This window comes from Homo sapiens, chromosome 10 (assembly GCF_000001405.40).
Source record: "Homo sapiens chromosome 10, GRCh38.p14 Primary Assembly".
Classification (NCBI taxonomy): Eukaryota; Metazoa; Chordata; class Mammalia; order Primates; family Hominidae; genus Homo; species Homo sapiens.
The window spans coordinates 625,172-644,297 of NC_000010.11; the positions used below are offsets into that span (position 1 = coordinate 625,172).

At 52.9% G+C, this 19,126-nt stretch overlaps 2 protein-coding genes, 1 long non-coding RNA gene and 1 other non-coding gene across 8 annotated transcripts in view, besides 5 other annotated features; 1 reads left to right on the forward strand and 3 right to left on the reverse strand.

Annotated features, from left to right (window-relative positions):
- The window catches only part of DIP2C (disco interacting protein 2 homolog C), a 415,468-nt gene that overhangs the window by 350,971 nt on the left and 45,371 nt on the right, over positions 1–19,126 (reverse strand). The window lies entirely within an intron of this gene.
- LOC124902361 (uncharacterized) overlaps positions 1–19,126 on the reverse strand; it is a 29,261-nt gene continuing 10,135 nt past the window's right edge. Inside the window, exon 1 of the mRNA XM_047426106.1 lies at positions 1–19,126. This exon is cut by the window's right edge and continues 10,135 nt beyond it. The gene's annotated coding sequence lies outside the window, so the exon portion shown is untranslated.
- Positions 234–1,026: an enhancer, noted in NCBI's record as "H3K27ac-H3K4me1 hESC enhancer chr10:671345-672137 (GRCh37/hg19 assembly coordinates)". NCBI's record gives its function as "activates a minimal SCP1, AML or CMV promoter by ChIP-STARR-seq in naive H9 embryonic stem cells {active_cell/tissue: H9 hESC(naive)}" and the evidence as "EXISTENCE:reporter gene assay evidence [ECO:0000049][PMID:30033119]".
- Positions 1,027–1,818: an enhancer, noted in NCBI's record as "H3K4me1 hESC enhancer chr10:672138-672929 (GRCh37/hg19 assembly coordinates)". NCBI's record gives its function as "activates a minimal SCP1, AML or CMV promoter by ChIP-STARR-seq in naive H9 embryonic stem cells {active_cell/tissue: H9 hESC(naive)}" and the evidence as "EXISTENCE:reporter gene assay evidence [ECO:0000049][PMID:30033119]".
- Positions 3,393–6,084, forward strand: DIP2C-AS2 (DIP2C antisense RNA 2). The gene is made up of 2 exons (NR_147612.1): positions 3,393–3,726; positions 4,688–6,084. It is a non-coding gene; the product is annotated as a DIP2C antisense RNA 2 (long non-coding RNA).
- Positions 3,968–4,927: an enhancer, noted in NCBI's record as "H3K4me1 hESC enhancer chr10:675079-676038 (GRCh37/hg19 assembly coordinates)". NCBI's record gives its function as "activates a minimal SCP1, AML or CMV promoter by ChIP-STARR-seq in naive H9 embryonic stem cells {active_cell/tissue: H9 hESC(naive)}" and the evidence as "EXISTENCE:reporter gene assay evidence [ECO:0000049][PMID:30033119]".
- Positions 6,959–7,893: an enhancer, noted in NCBI's record as "H3K27ac-H3K4me1 hESC enhancer chr10:678070-679004 (GRCh37/hg19 assembly coordinates)". NCBI's record gives its function as "activates a minimal SCP1, AML or CMV promoter by ChIP-STARR-seq in naive H9 embryonic stem cells {active_cell/tissue: H9 hESC(naive)}" and the evidence as "EXISTENCE:reporter gene assay evidence [ECO:0000049][PMID:30033119]".
- Positions 14,551–15,457: an enhancer, noted in NCBI's record as "H3K27ac hESC enhancer chr10:685662-686568 (GRCh37/hg19 assembly coordinates)". NCBI's record gives its function as "activates a minimal SCP1, AML or CMV promoter by ChIP-STARR-seq in naive H9 embryonic stem cells {active_cell/tissue: H9 hESC(naive)}" and the evidence as "EXISTENCE:reporter gene assay evidence [ECO:0000049][PMID:30033119]".
- Positions 16,518–16,607, reverse strand: MIR5699 (microRNA 5699). The gene has a single exon (NR_049884.1). It is a non-coding gene; the product is annotated as a microRNA 5699 (primary transcript).

Here is a 19,126-nt window from a genome sequence, read left to right on the forward strand (position 1 = left end):
AACAGCTTGAACTCACTGTCCCAAGAGGCAACAAGCCCTTCATTATCACGGCCGCAAGCCTCTGCGCAGCCCTCCTCCCCCGCCGCTTCCCGTCAGGGCAACGTGAAGTCCCATGACAGTGACTCAGAGCCAGCACAGTAGCTTCAGTGCAGAAAAAAAATCACAAAAACTCAAATACATCCTAAAAATGGGCAGTTGGTAGGAGCCGATTCCTAAATTAAACACTGTTCGGAGGCTTTCTGGGCTAGCACAGCTCTAATAACAGGCTTACGCTTTCTGCTCCCTGTGAAAGGCCGCGAAGAGGCCGGGCTCTGCCTTTCTGCAGGCTCCCCTACGGGGAGCCTGCCCTGTGGCCTCGGTGGCCTGTGCCAGACAGCGTGACCGTCGCCCACAGGGAACACTCAGCACAGCAGAGCAGGCTCGGGGAAGGACAGAAAGTGACCTCTAGCCTGCAGAAGATGCTAAGCCATGCACGGCCTCACGCACACTGCGCTTCAATCACGGCTGAAGCAGGAACGAGCTCTTAATAGTTCCAGTAAATGCAAAGGCCGCCCTGGAAAACTGCGTGAACCTTTCTGACTACTCACAGGTGGGGAGCCACTGCCTAAGACACAAAGGTAAAGAAGTAACCTGAAACTGCATATTATAAAACTTACTTTTAAATGAGGGCACCTAATTTAAAAGACTCCCAAAGAACACTGCATTAGAAAGTGACAGAGTGAAACCATGAGGCTGACCACAGGAGTCCCTGGAAATTTCACCAAATGTTGTGTCAAAAGAGCGTTTTGCAAGCTGGGACACAGAGAACTGCACCTGATGAAATATTCAATTAATCACTTGAGTCCTCCCCACATACGAAGCTATTTACAAAGTGTTCCCAGAAGGTAAAGTGAGCAGGAGGTCTGTGAACACACAAAGCAAGATCCACTTCGTCCATGGACCACGACAAAAGAAACGCTAACGAGGGCTGACACTAACGAGTGCCGATGACATGCTAGAGTCCAGGCCTCCATGTGCACCTGTGACGGGGACAGTCAGGGTCTCACTGTCCAGATGGGAAACTGGGGCGGAAACACCAGGGAGCCTGTCCCAGGGTGCAGAGCCAGTGAACAGTGGTTCATACTGGGCCAATCCCAGCTGCCAGGCTCTGGGGCTCCTGGGGACAGAATCCTGTTGACTTCACTCTGGGGTGGGAGGGGCGGCAGCATCCCCCAAAGGCACCTGGAGAAGTGGTGTTACCCTCCATCCCCCATCCTCGGTGTTACCCTCCGTCCCCCCGTCCCCGGAGTTACCCTCCGTCCCCCGTCCCCGGGGTTACCCTCCATCCCATCCCTGGTGTTGGTCACCATCCTCCTCACCTCCAGGCCCCTCTCCTTGTCCTCCCTCATTTTCCTGTTCACCGAGAGCATGTCACATGACTCTTCCCTTTTCAAGAGGCTCAGCTGCACCCAGAGGCATTCCGGCCTATTCAGGACGGGGGACACACCCTGGGGAAATGCCTGCATGGGGCCAGAAGGGCCTGAGCCCCTCTCACTGTTGCCCAGGAAGGATGGAACACCCCACGGTCACGCCGATTGTCAGGCCCTCTCACTGTTGCCCAGGAAGGATGGAACACCCCACGGTCACGCCGATCGTCAGGCAGGATGAAAACATCGGTGTCCAAAATGTTTTTTTCACTACAACTGTTTGGACCATTCGTGAACGAATCAGTTAAATACCAAGAAGGGCCATTCCCATTTATTCTTTGGCTACAGTTTTCCACCCACCAGCTACCACGCTCCTAGGAATTACTCCTAACGCAGTATCAGTGCCTTGTGCCTTTTAGGAAAACCTCCTTCCCTCCAGCTTTGTCCTCCTTCCACAAAAGGTGCCTCTGACTGCCTCGCTCGCCGTACCAGGATTTCGCTCGGCTATGGAGGAAAATCCGCGTGGGGCTCAGAGATGGGTGGTCCCCGCACACGCAGTGGCTCTGTAACATCCTCCAAGGAGCCTGGCCCAGGCCTGCCCCACACACCAGGACTCTGCCTTGTGGCCCTCAGGCCCCCGAAGCTGCTTTCCCTCCAGGCGTCATGCCCCGGGCAAGAAGGCCGGACAAGGGCCCAGGGCTGCTGTGGGTCGGGAAACCCTCCCGACACCTCCCTCTCCAAAACCCCCCATCAGCATCCCAGCATCTGGACCTGTGTCACCAGCCGCTCTGCCGTACAAGAGAACTGGATTTTCAGCTGGGTTCGCTGCTTCCCTAAACAAAGTAGGGTTTTGTTACTGAGGAAAAAGGAAAAAGCGGGCATCTTCTTGGCAACCTCGCGACATCCAGCCGCCGGTTCTCACCACACCAGAGATGTCCACCCAGGGCAGACAGTGTCTTCAACCGAGCGCCACTGACCCAGAAGTGCAGTAATTAGTACACTTTCACCAGAGTCACCCACTCCTTCACCTTTACACCCAAGAATAACATGTTTGCCAGGCAAATTAGATGTCCGGGAGGTGTAAGGGAAACCCCAAGCCTGCTTTAAGCCTCAGACTTTTGAGATCGTTGAGGGCCGTGCACGCAAGAGCGAGGCTGCGCCCAAAAGCTCTGCTCCTGCCAGACGTCACAAACAGACCGCACGGCTCAGCCACGTGGACGCTTACAGGACTTCACGAGAGGCACCACCGTGGTACACGTGAAGACGTGCACTTCATTCAGCCTCGAACAGACCACGCCCTCATTACGGGGTTGGTGACCCACCTCCCACCATCAGTCCCCCACCTCACCCAGGGTCTGTGTCTGCATCTGTAACGACTTTGCTGTTTTACCGGGGTACTAAAATGCAGCATCGGAATGTTTAAAGGTCTTTAAATATCAACACTCTGGGTCCAGTTTTCGGCACTTTAATGCGGACACTCGATGCAGGCCTCACTCACCACTCTGAGGTAGCTCATACCTTTCCTACCTAACCAAGCAAGAAACTGAGGCACAGAACGTGGCAGGAAAATATGCAGCTTCTAAGTAGCAGATTAGGATTCAAACCAGTGCTCTTCGTCACATTGCTGACCTACCTCTCAGGCTGAGATAACGTCCAAAATTAACCAGGTAGAACAGTGTTCCATAAATCAGCCAGAAATGGTCCTTGTGGATGGGCCTGTGGTTATTCCCTGAAGAACGAGACCATTGGCCCAAAAATCCACCTGTGTCACATTCAAATGTTTACATATCCAATTACTTAAAAAATACCCCAATCAAGCATGTTTACAGCCATTTACAGCCATATAGATTATCTGCTTTGGTGACAATCAACCCAAGACCTCTGTTGGCAACGGGCATCATGCCAGGTCCAGAGAGGGTGGGACAGAGACACAAACAGGAAACGCTCTGTCCCTGGGAGCCTCGCTCTGATGGGCCTGCGGGGACATGGCACAGACCATGCGGCACAGGCGGAAGGCGGGGACACGGCACAGACCGTGGGGCACAGGCGGACGGAGGGCCAGGAGAAGGGGCTGTGCTGCCAGCAGGCAGTGCTTTGAGCTCTAATGGATGAACATTGCTAACCAGCGAAGGTGGAGAGAGGGCACCCGTCTGAGAAGATGAAGAGGCAGCAAAGCACAGCTGGCCTCGGGGAACCGGAAGCCACAGGGACATCAGGCTGTGTGCTGCTGTCTGTCGGCCACCAGCTGGGGGACTATCCTGGACCTGGAAGGGCATCCCTGACACTCCCCACCAGATGCCAGGGGCACCCCCAGCCCCAGGTGAGAACCACGGATCCCATGGCGAATGAGGTCAGCCTGTGGGAAGTGGGGCTGGGACTGCTCTGCACAGCTTAATAGGAAAGTTGGGTTCTATTTGGTGGGGTTTTGGTCATGCCAATGGCTGGTCAGGGCTGTCCGTGAGGAACTGATTTGAGGACAAGTTAGAGAAGGGGCTGCCGAGGCCAGTGGGGCACTCGCTGTCTGGGTCTAAGAAAAAGAAAATAAAGGCTGGTGATGTGACAGTTGGTGGGAGCACAGACGGAAGGAACTGGCGGTGGAGACACACGGTTGGCCCTGCACAGGGCTACGGTAGCTACCTGGGGGTCATCCTATTAATTCTCCTCATGGTCCCAAGAGGCGGCTGTGAGGATCCCTCTCCTGAGGACAAAACTGCTCCAGAGCCACACAGAACCAAGATCCGGGCCAACTCCAAAGCGGGCGATCTTGACCCCTCACCCGTGGTCCTGAGGCAGGGATCGGAGCCCCCTGGACACACAGACACTCCCAGGAACTGCAGGAATGGGAAGTAGATACCCCAGACCAGCGGCAGGACCCAGGGTTTCTGCCCCTCAGGGCACACTGGGACCAGCCACTGCATAGGTGGACACATGGTGCTTTAACCCACACTGGGGGAAGGAAGCCCTCACTCTCAGAGTGGAGACCACAGCCTCCAGCAGGCCCAGCCTCACTGCTTTAACCCGTACTGGGGGAAGGAAGCTCAAGCTGTCAGGGTGGAGACCGCAGCTTCAATCAGGCCCGGCCTCACTGCTTTAACCCGCGCTGGGGGAAGGAAGCCCTCGCTCTCAGGGTGGAGACCGCAGCCTTGATCAGGCCCAGCCTCACTGCTGGGCACAGCCTGAGGATCGCCATACATGATGCTGAGGTGTCCCAACGTTGGGGTGCCCAGAGCCACTCAGCCGAGAATGTGGTGCTTTCTGTAACTGCCCTCATTTCTTTACAGTATAGATCTGGACTCCATCCTTTGCAATGTGTGGGGTTCTAGGAAGAGGCCAGCCAGCCGTGGAAGTGTCCTGGGCTCTGTCCCGGAGACGACGAACTTGGCTCCCCACGAGGGCGGCCTATTCCCCACAGTGTCCCCCGGGGGCCACACCTGCACCCACCTTGCTGAAGATAATTCGCTTTCTCATCCGTGAAAGAATAAAGTCGGATTAACTCATCTCCACACTCACTTCCAACTCTAACAACCTGTGTTAGGAAATCAAAGGTAAGGACTCTGACCACAAACCCAAGAAGCAAAACCCGAGACTCACGGAACGACGCCACCATTGCAGTTCCCAGCTTGACTAGTTGTTTTTCTTTTCTGGTCTGTTCTGCTCTTTTGGTTTAAATAATTAAAGATCCTTGTTGACAAGTAAAAAAAATTCTTTATGAAGCTAAAAAAAGTGGTTCTAATTAAACATTTAAACATTCTTCCATATACTTTTAAAAACAGTTGTAATTATAGCTCTACTTAATGTTAAGTACTTTAACCAAATGAAAGGTTAATTATACAGACTGGCAATTATAAAAAATAAGGTAACATATTCATGGCATTATGAATAATTAATAAGAACTCTTCGATTTCATTTAGACCAGGGATTCTGTGCTAATATGCTCTCAGCTGTCTTGAAATAATGGTGAAATTTTAAAATTAGTTTTGTACTTAAACATGTCCCCAAAGTGAAGCACAGCGGCCAACGTCCGTCACGGTGCCGAGCAGTGCCAGCCGCTCTACCATGGCCGACGGCCTGATTCCCAAGGGCTGCGTCCCGGGGCCGTGCTAGTGCAGTGAATGTTCAGGAAACAGACCAGGTGGCAGGAGGGAGTCTTGTCCTCAAGGAACCTCATAAGTCTTGCTAGGGGGACAAACAACGAGAGAATGAAACTGGCAGCCATAGAATCCGGGCCTTGATGCCCAGGCCTCGCCATGCATACCTGCTGGCCGGCATCTCCCTGAGACCCGTCTGGCACAGGCAACGGCAGGGCCCGGCCCTTGGAGCACAGGGATGGCAGAGCAGGGTCATCGAAGCAGGTGGCGTGCAGACAGTGGCTTCTCCGCAAGAGCTCCTGGCTCTCAGGGAGCTGAGGGCTCCTCAATGGGGAATTCTGGCTGAGCTCCAGGGGAAAGCGGGTTGGAGGCCTGGCTCCTCCGCCCCCATCTCCTCTGCCCCAACCCTGGAAGGGGGTCAGATATCAATGCTAACATTTGTGCTGACTCAATTAATTCAAACGATTCACAAAAACAAACTTGCTTAAAGTATTAATTTCCTAAAAAGAACTAAAATGAGTTCAAATAATTCACATAATTAAATTATTTTAATTGTTAATTTAATTAAAACATCTCAGTTTTCAAAGCACCACGTGCCTTGGTACTTTCTCCTTATTACATGTCCCATCTTCCAGGGAGGTTTCCTTCCACCCACTGTAGCAGCGGATTCTGGTGTCTCGGGTGTTCCCAGGCTTCCGTCAGCCCCTGGGGGGTTTACAGTTCTGCAGCAGTCTCCATCCTAATTAATCTGCATAAGAACATCCGTCCGCAGGGATGTCCTGTGGCCCTGTGGCCACGTCTGACATGCAGCTAAACACTGGACGTGTCACCTGGCGACAGCGGATGATGAAACTGTGGGCAGGGTAGCACCTCTGGGCGCCAACACTCTTAACATGTTTTTTTTTTACAAGACCATTCTTTAATGGGTGAACCCTGAAAGGAAACGCTAAAGATTGTTTTTAAATATTTTTATATAGAGACAAATCTTTATCAAACATTCACTCAATGCTAAATGTCACTTCTCCAGCCAACCCCTTTAAAAAATACCTAAAACTAAGACTGGAATGACACCTTCAAACACATACTCTAATAATGCATTCCCGGGAGCAGAGAGAGCTTAGCAGCTTAATGTTTTCATGATATACAAGCATGAAGTTTGGCGAAGGCATTTTCATATGTTTACCTGAATATTTTAATAAAATCAAAAGATCCCTTTCACTTTAATACTCTACTTAGAATGTAATTTTCCATTAAATAAATAGTCAATGTTCTGTAACCCACATGCTGATAAACTTCAAAACTTTAGAAAGTATTAAGCGTAATCAAAGATTACTTTTAATTTTTGAGCTGGGAAGAGCCTGTGCCAGGGAACAGAGTTGAGATTGAAGAGATAAAAGCACGATTATTTTATGAAAGAAAAGCGAAATTCATAAAAGAGACCATGTGATTCTATAAAGCAACACAGAATCCGTTTTCAGAAGAGGCAAACGTGGACCACAAAACGCCAGTGTTGCCTGTGAAGAGAGAAACAGTTAAAAGGAAGAATTCGCGGTGGCCCAGTATAGGTCAAGGTGTGGGAGGACAGGGAGGCGATGAAATGATCCTCCTTCTAACTTCCCAGAAAGGTACAAGCGGCCAGCACTGTAACTGGAAACCACGCGGGCACCAGCGTGAACTCAGACCCGACAGCCAGCACCGTAACTGGAGACCATGCGGGCACCGGTGTGAACCCAGACTCCACGGCCAGCACCGTAACTGGAGACCATGCGGGCACCGGTGTGAACTCAGACCCGACGGCCAGCACCGTAACTGGAGACCACGCGGGCACCGGTGTGAACCCAGACTCCACGGCCAGCACCGTAACTGGAGACCACGCGGGCACCGGTGTGAACCCAGACTCCACGGCCAGCACCGTAACTGGAGACCACGCGGGCACCGGTGTGAACTCAGACCCGACGGCCAGCACCGTAACTGGAGACCACGCGGGCACCGGTGTGAACCCAGACTCCACGGCCAGCACCGTAACTGGAGACCACGCGGGCACCGGTGTGAACCCAGACTCCACGGCCAGCACCGTAACTGGAGACCACGCGGGCACCGGTGTGAACCCAGACCCGACGGCCAGCACCGTAACTGGAGACCACGCGGGCACCGGTGTGAACCCAGACTCCACGGCCAGCACCGTAACTGGAGACCACGCGGGCACCGGTGTGAACCCAGACTCCACGGCCAGCACCGTAACTGGAGACCATGCGGGCACCGGTGTGAACCCAGACTCCACGGCCAGCACCGTAACTGGAGACCACACAGGCACCGGTGTGAACTCAGACGCAACGGCACCCTCCTGGGCTGCTCCAGCCACCACCAGAACCCGTTCTGCAGCTGAACTCGAAGCTGATTCTGGAAGGAACTGAGGAGGATGAGGACGAGATCCTTCTACCTCAACCGGGATCAATTTTTTAATGATTTCTTTCTTTTAGAAAAATGTTAATAAGATACTTTGTTCTAAAATGACCAGGATTTCAGCAGCTTCTACATTTCTTCATGTCAATCAAAGCTTAGGCACGTGGGTTACTTCACTGTTCTCTGTACCCTTTCCAAATAAAACCCGGGGCCGCCTGTGTACCCAAGAGCCTGGGCACTGAGCAGAGAGAGAAAACGTCCAGGGCAACAGCGTTCACATTCCGGCGGTGCCATAGAGCAGACGGGGGGAGTCCGAGGCGGTGCCGCAGAGCGGACGCGGGGAGTCCGAGGCGGTGCTGCAGAGCGGACGCGGGGAGTCCGAGGTGGTGCCGTAGAGTGGATGGGGAGAGTTCGAGCCACAGGTGGCCACGCCTCCCCTGCCTCCGGCCGGTGCCCACTGCTCACGCATTCCTCTCTCGGCCCATCCTGAGCCAGGGGGCCCTCGCGTCACCCAAGGCCACTGCAGCACCTCCAGGAACAAACCACCCACAGATGGACTGCTCTCCATGCAAGGTGCAAAGATTGTTTTTAAAACTGCTCGGCTCTGGAACTTATCCCAGTAACAGGCTAGATTAAGAAAACTGACTAAAAACAGTAGGAGGAAAAACTCCCTCCACCCATTGAAGCACAAGAAATGCAAACAGCCTCTGAAATAACTGCAGACGAGTTTTCCTGGGTTAGGTACGCGGTGGGGTGACCCTACCCCATAGCGGGGCCCCGGCACACAGTGGGAACTGACGAACATCTCTGAATAAATGCAGGAAAATGCACTCAACTCCCAAACAGAGACAGAAACTGCTTTTTTTCCTTAAAAGCTTCTCTCTTTTATTCTCAAAAAGACTCTCTTTGGTGGCTTCACTGCTGAAGGGACAAGCCTGTTGTCCCCCTCCAGCAGGCTGGCCGCCTTCCAGAAAGCAGTCCTGGACAGTCTCCAGATCCTATGGCCCTCACATCCACCTTGCCTAGTGATCCCGCATTATGAAGCCTAATCATCAGAAAGAGCCTCCCAGTCCACAGCTCAGGAGTGGCGTTTTATTCAGGGAAACACTAATAAAAACCTGGGGCTCAGCGTCAACGCTGTCCCCTAGATACTGAGGCTCCACACAGATGGCACACAGACAGGCCTCACCCCTTCCTGGTGCCCCAAGTCTCTCCTAACATTTTATTAGCTGAGTTTTCTGGCGGTTTGTTACTTTTCACCTGCCCGTCCAAGGCAGCTACACTAAACTACTTGTCCAGGGCAGATCCACTCGTAATGACCATCAGCTCAGAGTTGGAAGTAGCGCTGGAGAATGAGGTGGTTTCAGGTTGCTATGCTTCCCTGCCCTCTCTTCCAGGGATGCCAAGTAAGTTTCTGCCGTGGCTGATGATGTCAGTACTACACTGAAATTAGTTCAACGGCAGGCCACCAATTAGTACTTACTGAACAACGTCCTTAAGAGTGAAACCCTGTCTCTACTAAAAATACAAAAATTTAGCTGGGTGTGTTGGTGAGCACCTATAATCTCAGCTACTGGGGGGCTGAGGCAGGAGAATTGTTTGAACCCAGGAGGCAGAGATTGCAGTGAGCCAAGATTGCACCATTGCACTCCAGCCTGGGCAAAAAGAACGAGACTCCATCTCAAAAATAAAAAAAAAAGAAAAAGAAAAAGAAAAAGAAAAAAATGATTCTCACGACACTGTCAACATCTTAAGTTCTTCCGGAGGGTAGCGTAAAATTATCACACACAACGTAAAGCCAATTAGATCAACATTCTGTCCTCACCGATCCATACCTAAATCCTTATTTCTAATTGGCCCCCAATTTTTCAGAATTTAAGAAGACTGAGAGGAATAACCACGAACAAGCAAGATTTACGCAGACGTCAGTCTTCCCAACTCTCGCTCAGGAACTCACCCCAAACTCCTCCTGTGGAATCAGCCTGGATAACAGTCCCTGGTGGCTACACAAGAACAGAGAGAGGATTCCACGAACCCATGACACACCCCACCCTCCAATCCAAGGCAGAGGAGAGAGGCGGACAGTCACAAAAACCAGAAGAGCAGGGAACTGTGATTCTTCTGATTTAATGTAGGTGATTGGGCCAAAAAACAAGGCAAATCCACCTGTGAATGGGGTGGGCTCCCAGCTGGCTGTGGATATGAAGGAACTCACTTTCCTGCACACTGAAGTCCATCAGCGTCTCCACATCGGCCGGCACCTGGGCTGTGATCGCCCCTCACAGACTGGGATAACAGTGGCCTCATCTGGACAGGTTGTCAAGGATGGATGGATAGACGTCCTGGACAGACACTGTACAGAGACCAGGGACTGGGCAGGGGGAGGTGGCACAGCCTTAGGGCCAGCAGGGGCGAGGCCGGGAAGCCGGGTCTCTGGGGCGTTGAGGGCCCATGGGGGCCTGGGCGAGGGCCTGCGTCTCCTCATCCAACAGAAGCAGAAGCGGCCGCGCAGTGTGGGCTGCAGCTGCGGGGAAGCAGCTGGTATGACACAGCAGGAGGCCGTGGCCAGCCCTGGAGGAGGGGCCCAGCTGCGGGCACTGCCCCAGGAGCCAGCATCCTGAGCCCCCGGGGAAGGCGGGAAATTGCCCCTGGGCACTGGGCGCTCAGGCTGGAGGTGGTGAGACCTCGAGGCCCTGCAGTCAGGGAGGCGAGGGCAGAGGTGGCCAAACTGCAGCTCAGTGAAGGGTCTTGTCAGGAAAGACCCCCAGAGGCTGCCTCACCGGCCCAGGGGAAGTTACTTCCAGCCCAGAGGCTCAACGGGGTCCTCGGTGGTGACACTTAACCTTGTCCTCTGACAGACGATCATCGAGATAGAGTCACTCAAACCTCTGCCAAGCTCTGCACCCAAGTGAAGCCGTTACCACAGATGCTGAGGCAGGCAGTGCTCATCTCAAAACTGTACAAGTGGTTTCTTTAGCCAGTTCTCCACATTCTTAATGACAATCCACACTACATGTGTGTTTCCAGCATCAACCTGTGCTCATAGCTACATACAAAATAACTTTATCACAAGGAAAACTAGGTGGTGAACCCAGGAGGAGGAAATCCCCACAAGTCGACAGAACACCAACGGCTCGTCGGCTCGTCGGCTCTTCCCGGCTGAACCCAAGGGTGCTTGGCTTGACTCACTTCCATACCAATTTCCAGATGTATTTTTACTTTCCCACATTTTCATTATGAAAATGTTCAAACATATTTAAAAAGTGGAAGAACAGTACAATGAGTGGCCAAGTTTTCTCCACGTGGAGTTCCGACAACTAACATTTCGGTAGATTTGCTTTCTCACTCTCTCTCTCTGTAGATTATACAGAGAGACAGATTCGTTTCTCCTCTGGAGCCAGTTGAAGGTGACAGGCTCCTGCCACCTCGCCGAGTCCTCACGCACGCGTTCCCTAAGAATAAAGGACCCTCTGCAGCCGCAGAACCATCATCGGCAGACAAGAACCATTTCAGAGCATCGCTGTCCACTTTATATTCAATAAGCACAATTCTCCCGAAAACGTCTTTTCTATCTGGGCCACACACTGCGCCGAGTGACTCTCCTTCCCCATCTTCGTCAGGGACAGCCTCACACCCTTTATCTGTGATGACTTTTCGAGAGTCTGGGGCCAACGTCCTGCAGAACGTCCCCCAGATGCATCTGTCTCTCAGGGCATCATTAAATTCCCTCTTATGCACCTCAGTTCCCTGTAAACAGGAAGTTTCAGTCTCGAGGCGCAATCACCTTCCGTCATACACTTCTCAGCAGCTTCCCGGTGAGGCTGCTGGTTCACGAGGGGCGGGAGCTCCTAGTCCTGCTCCCCGACGGCATAGCTGCGACCGGCACCACATGGGACTCGTGTGCACCAGCACCCACATCCCCGCATCAGAAACACCTGGAGGGGCCGCGGGCAGCCGAGACACCTGGAGGTGTGAACTGCACAGGCGTGGGGCAAGAACAGGGTCAAATCATAACATAACGTCTGATTCCACACGGTCCCACCTGCGTAAGATGGTGACATTTCCCTACCAGGTATCTGAAGCCAGAAAATCTGACAGAAAATTCACAACCTGCCTTTGTCCACCTAGGCTGCTGTAACAACACACCATAGGCTGGGCGGGGGCTGACAAGCAACAGAAAATTCACAACCTGCCTTCGTCCACCTAGGCTGCTGTAACAACACACCATAGGCTGGGCGGGGACTGACAAACAACAGAAAATTCACAACCTGCCTTTGTCCACCTAGGCTGCTGTAACAACACACCATAGGCTGGGCGGGGGCTGACAAGCAACACAAGTTCATTTCTCACAGCTCTCAGGCTAGGAAGTCCATGGTCAAGACCTGACAGGTTTGTCTGGTGAGGGCTTCCTGGTTCACAGACGGCGCCTTCTCACTGGGTCCGCACACAGTGGAAGGAGCGAGGGAGCTCTCTGTAGTCCCTTTTATGAGGGCACAAATCCCATTTATGAGACCCTCATGACCTCCTCACCACCCAAAGCTCCCCCTCCTAGCACCATCTCCTCCGGGGTGAGGATTCCAATTGTGAATCTTGGGGAGACACAAACATTACAAAAGCCCATCATTTAATTTTGTTTAAAGGCATTTTTGCTTCTACAAAGTCTCAAGATAAAATCAAAACAAAGAGGTCTTCAGAGGAGTCAATCCACACAGTTCTCCCAAAAGGGCAAGCAATCGATTGCCACCACTTTTTACCCAAGACCCGCTGAGTGCCCTGGTCTGCATGACTGATTCTAAATCACCGTCCTCTCCTCTGCCACTCAGAGGTCAGAGTCAGTCCAGAGCTTAACACCAAGGCAGAGCTGACTGAGAGACACAAGCTCATCCATTAAGACAAGCCAAGACTCCTGCCCAAGGCCTAATCCCTCCACCAGGGAAACGTGGAAGGGCCAGATGCCTGGCAGCCCTTCCTTCCTCTTCTGAAGCCCCCGAGACACAGCCCCGGCCAGGTGTGTGCCTCGGGCAATGCACAGGTAACGTCAGCTGGGCACCGAGTCTGAGAACATGTTCTCAAGTAAAAATGAAAACAGGACTGCTGTGAAAAGCTCATGCTTAATCACCTCTGGGCTAAATTCTAAATGCAATGTTATTTCAGAGCTAGGTGGAAGTAATTCCTTAAAAACATATATGAACAGTAACTAGCAACCAGGGTGATAAGTACTCAGTATGTGTTTGATGAATAAATGAATTTTTAAAATTTATGAAAAGAGCACGCTCTATTTAGGAGAATTCTATTTAATTTGATCTCCTAACTATAAAGTGGCTCCTTCGTGCTGACAGCAGGGTTTGCTTCAGTTGACTCAAAAAATGGTCACTCTAACAGGAAACCAAAAGGCTTTACAGAGAGTCAAATTATGGTGCCAATTCAACTGTGCATGGCAATTTCACCTAAATATTTAAATTCTCGAAGCACCGTACTCAGAAAACAAGACATAACATAAATAAGTGCATCGCCTCAAGCACTATCACCTAGAACTTGACAAAGTTTGACTGTGAGTTTCAAGAAAAGGGCTGACGAGGCCAAGAAGTTCCTTCCCCTCTCCCCTTACCTCCCATTTTGGTGACAAACTTAATGCAGAGAAATTCCTGTTTCAGGTTTGCCAGCATTGGAGCAATCCTGGCATTTATTCACCCAGGACACTAGAAGGCTGAAGTCTGCAGGGTGCACATATTTAAAATCACGGGAGCACTGGAGTAATGGAAAGAGGTGCCCGCGAAGGCATCATCCTTTCCAGGACAGGCTCTAATTCCGCCTCCGGGCCCTTTTGCAAAAAGCCATTTCTACAAACCCACGGCCACCAGGAGGAAACACACAAAAGACCCCACTGCCCTCCTGGCTTCCCAGAAGGCCTCAGAAGGACGAGACACGGAGCCCGCACACAATCCTGGACCCTCCTCCTTGCATTCAGTTTGATGCATGTCACCTGCCTGCATGATGGAGGTCCCACAATGGGCACAAGGGGACCCGTCAGGTCGGGAGGATGCTGCCCGGCTCACAGTCCACACATGGGGACGCGTCAGGTCGGGAGGGTGCTGCCCGGCTCCCGGTCCACACATGTGGACGCGTCAGGCCATCAGGGTGCTGCCCGGCTCACGGTCCACACATGGGGACGCGTCAGGTCGGGGGGTGCTGCCCGGCTCACGGTCCACACGTGGGGACGCGTCAGGTCGGGAGGGTGCTGCCCGGCTCACGGTCCACACGTGGGGATGTGTCAGGTCGGGAGGGTGCTGCCCGGCTCACGGTCCACACATGGGGATGTGTCAGGTCGGGAGAGTGCTGTCCGGCTCACGGTCCACACATGGGGACGCGTCAGGTTGGGAGGGTGCTGCCCGGCTCACGGTCCACACATGGGGATGTGTCAGGCTGTCAGGGTGCTGCCCGGCTCTCAGTATCAGCCGCATATGCACATTCTCCACTGAAGCCACTGCATGAAGCCACGCTGGAAGCACTTTCTGGCAGGTTTAGGAAGCTCACGTCCAAGGTCATTAAACGCATGGCAAGCTCGCCTTGGAGGCATTTTACTTTGCTAATGACAACGAAGCATTCTCATTGCACTGAATAGTTTAGAGCAGTCTTTCATGTCCACTGCCTCTTTGAAATAGGCATATTGTGCCTGTTTTACAGATTACATCAAGGCCCTAATATATTTAGTTCCTTGTCCCAGGTACACACAAATCAGCGACATCACTAGAACGTGTTTTGGACCACGAAAAGAAGGAAAATCACAGCATTATCCATTGATGCTGCTTAAAGCGTATTTCCAGATGTCCCTCCCCCGCCCGGCCTGTATCCAAGGCTTCCGCTGACCACGCGGCATCTGCTGGGCACTCTGCGCGCTTTCTCCCACACCCGCCACGCCTGTGGGCCTGTGCATGTCCCTCCACGCATCCCCACGCGGCTAAATCTCCCACACCCGCCACGCATGTGGGCCTGTGCATGTCCCTCCACGCATCTCCACGCGGCTAAATCTCCCATACCCGCCACGCCTGTGGGCCTGTGCCTGTCCCTCCACGCATCCGCACCTACCACGCGGCTAACACACACCTCCCACAGGTGGCAAGTGCCTGAACGTCCCCACGGCTGGCGGGGCTCCCGGTGCAGGACACACAGACAGGCACGGCCGCCCCGCCCACGGCCACCAAGGGCTTTGCTTTGTCCCCAGAGGTGCCCTTCGATGGGGTCACACGGCAGATGGCCAAGTGTTAGATAATTAAGGCTCAGGAAATCACCGCAGCCTTACCTTTAGAACTCACCTCTCCCCTGCACTTCAACCCGAAGGGTGGGTCGCCAGAGCTGGGGAAGAGATGCCCAAGGCTCCCTTGCGCCCTGACAGCCTCGGACTCTGCTCCCCTCTGTTGGTTTCTTACTGCACCTCAATAAACTTAGCTCACAGCAAGAGGCGGGCATGGCCAGAGTAGAAACACACGACAGACCCCGGGTAGACGCGACGGGGGACGAGGGTGCGTGCCGGGACGAGGGTGCGCGCGGGGAAGAAGCTGCGCGCGGGGATGAGGGTGCGCGCGGGGAAGAGGGTGCGCGCGGGGATGAGGGTGCGCGCGGGGAAGAGGCTGCGCGCGGGGAAGAGGCTGCGCGCGGGGAAGAGGGTGGGCGCCGGGAAGAGGGTGGGCGCCGGGAAGAGGGTGGGCGCCGGGAAGAGGGTGCGCAGGCTCCGAGAACCTGGGGGCAGCAAGGCCGGTCAAGGCTGGAGACTCCAACAGTGGCAGCAGCAAGGGTGTTGGCCAAGCCACAGAGACAGCCCCACCCAGAGGGGCTGCATGAACCAGCAGCGACCCTAACCCAACGTGCTCATCGGACTGGGCACACGCACACGCTGTGGACACGTGTGAATATGTTCCAATTAACGTGATGCTACGTAATAATCAACAACGTTAACCCCATGGCTTCATTACATGGCATCTGGCACATTGAGACTTTTTATTCTGTCTCTCTTCCTATACAAAGAAGTGGAAAATAGGTCCAAGATCATTCACAACAAATTATTGCTAATTGCAAAAAAAAAAAAATCCTACCCTCACCTTGGAAGATCTCAAGGCAACACCTCGTTCTTTGAGGTCATAGTGGGGACGCTCTCCGGACCCCTAGGTGAGTCTGTGACTGAGGGGAATCCCCAAATGGGCAGTTTTGGGGCCAGCACGGACGCCAGCCATGCATCCAGGCAGGTCTTGTGACCTCGGCTGGGTCACCAACCTATTCCTGCACTCAGACCCCGCCAGGAACGAGGGCACCGGCCCGCACATCTCTGCTCCCGAGGCTACATCCCCTACGTTCCTCTGCACTGCTGGGTTCCATGCCTTAGATCCCAGGCACCTTAAAGCTGATGTTCCCCCACCAGCCCTCATGAAGATGATACTCACACAACGCCCCTCCTCTCCCACCTGGTCAGTACCCAGGGAGAAAGGAACCCGGGTGTCAGCTTGATTTTCTGCCAGTACATTGAAAAAACAGCTGGCCAGCAGCACTGGTGCACAGCACTGCCAGGCTACCCATGAGGAAAGCTAAGTAAAGTCAGATGTACTCAAGTCGGCTGCGGCAAGTGCTTCTACATCCCTGCTCCAACAAGGAAAGACAGGAGGCCAGGCGTGTGTGTGGCTCACACCTCTTGTCCTTCCTTGTTGGGGCAGGGGTACAGAAGCATTTTGGGGGGCTGAGGCAGAAGAAATGCTGGAATTCGAGACCAGCCTGGGCAACATAGCAAGACCCCATCTCTACAAAAAAAAATACAAAAATGAGCCAGGTGTGGTAGCGCGCCTGTAGTCCCAGCTACTCAGGGGGCTGAGGTGGGAGGATCACCTGAGCCCAGGAGGCAGAGGTTGCAGGGAGCCAAGATTGCACCACTGCACTCCAGCCTGGGCAACAGGGCGAGACCCTGTATCAAAAAAAGGAAAGAAAGAAAGAAATACAGGAGACCACTAATAATTCCAAATAGTGCCTACTAATTTGAAATCTTTTCCAGATATGATGAAGGAAATTATTTTCCTTCCTACACCCCTTCTAAGGAAACATTTCTATTTTTCTGCTACACAATTTGGTAACCTGCCCTTTCAGATCCTGGCCTCTTTAAGCAGGACTCGCTGGTGTGCTAGCAAAGCAGTGCTCTGAAACCTCAGCATCCTCAGACCCACCTGGAGGGCAGGTGAAGGATGCTGGGCCTCCGCCTCCTAACGTCACACTGGGGTGGGGCAGGTCTGGGGTGGGGCAGGGTTTGCACTTCGAATGCATTCCAGTCTAGGGCCACATCGCCCTAAACACGCCCATCTCATCTAATGCATGCCAGAGGGAGGAGCCACACGGGGCAGGTCACAGAGCAAGTGTCCAGGCACCAGGCCACCAGGTGTCTATTTAAATGCAAACCAATCAAGCAGCTTAAGTCAAACAGCTTCACCCTCCTAACACATTGGCCAACACAACTAGTGATAAATATCACTGCTGTTAGACCTTCTGCTCACTGATGACCAGAGCAAGGGCCTGAAACATCAAAGCTGAAGGGCGTGTGCCACGGTCAGGGCTCCGCACACCCCCGTCCCAGGCCATCGCACACGGGTGCCCTCACCGGCACCGGGGTCTCACAGACCAGCTCCACTCTCACACTTACTGGGACACAACCACCCTTTCAGCCCTTCATGCGTCTGTACCCTACAGCAGTGTTCAAGGGAGGCTAATTTAAGAAAGGAATGTAATATGGACATCTGTGAACTCTTCCTCATATCCACTGAGTGGTCCTCCAGAAAGAGAAAGATTAAAAAGAAAAAGAAGATTTAAGAATCAAACACAGGGCCGGGCACGGTGGCCCACACCTGTAATCTCAGCACTTTGGGAGGCCAAGGTGGGCAGATCACTTGAGGCCAACAGTTTAAGACCAGCCAGACCAACATGGCAAAATCCCGTCTCTACTAAAAATACAAAAATCAGCCAGGCATGGTGGCACATGTCTGTAATCCCAGCTACTTGGGGGCTGAGGCAGGACAACGGCTTGAACCGGGAGGCAGAGATTGCAGTGAGTGGAGGTTGCAGTGACCCAAGATCGCGCCACTGCACTCCAGCCTGGGCAACAGAGTGAGACTCCGTCTCAAAAAAAAAAAAACAGGCCGGGCACGGTGGCTCAGGCCTGTAATCCCAGCACTTTGGGAGGCCAAGGCGGGTGGATCATGATGTCAGAGATCGAGACCATCCTGGCTAACACGGTAAAACCCCGTCTCTACTAAAAATACAAAAAAATTAGCCAGGCGTGGTGGCGGGTACCTATAGTCCCAGCTACTGGGGAGGCTGAGGCAGGAGAATGGCACGAACCCGGGAGGCGGAGCCTGCAGTGAACTGAGATCGCACCACTGCACTCCAGCCTGGGTGACAGAGTGAGACTCCATCTCAAAAAAAAACAAAAACAAAAAACAACACAGAAGCCCGTGGAACAAGCCCTTGCCCCAGTCCACGTCACCTGTGCTGTGCCACCCAGGAGCATGCCAAGCTCAAAGAGTCATCCACCTGCCTTGATGTCACTACTCGAATCACAGAGGCTGAGATTCCCTAACCCTCGTTATGTCCATGTCACTCACAAGCAGGCACTGGGCCCCCACAATGCACAGGGAATCCCTCTGGCCATCCAATGACCATCCATTGATAAATAAAAAGCATTAATTCCAGCTGGGTTGCAGAGTTGCACACATCAATACTTGTTACTGTTCACAAATGTTCCACCTGAGGGTGGAGTGAAGTTACAGAATTGGGAAGAACTTCACAGACGTATGAGGGTGTATTTAAGGAAAAAGTGTATGGAAGAGGTGAGAAAATAGAATATCCTAACCTCTGTCTTTTTATCACCCTCTAAATCCTATGATTCCAGTTCTGTTCATTCTGCAGTGAAAAATAATAAGTGATTCACACTCAGACACAAGGTGGCTTAGGAAGCTGCGGCTGTTTTAAAAAGATGAAACAATCTAGAAGGTCAGGATTCCGTGAGCGTATTCCTTACTAAAAAAGAGAAGAGACTGGGAGTTACACATCAGCTTGCCAAGGCTGTCCTGAAGTCCAGGAGCCCCTCAGGAGAACAGAGAATGTGCACCTTCTGCAGACCAAGGCAGGTGGCCGGGCCCAAGAGTGGGGATGGGGAGGCTGCAGGAGGCTTGCAGAGGGAGCTGTCCCGCCAGCCTCTGG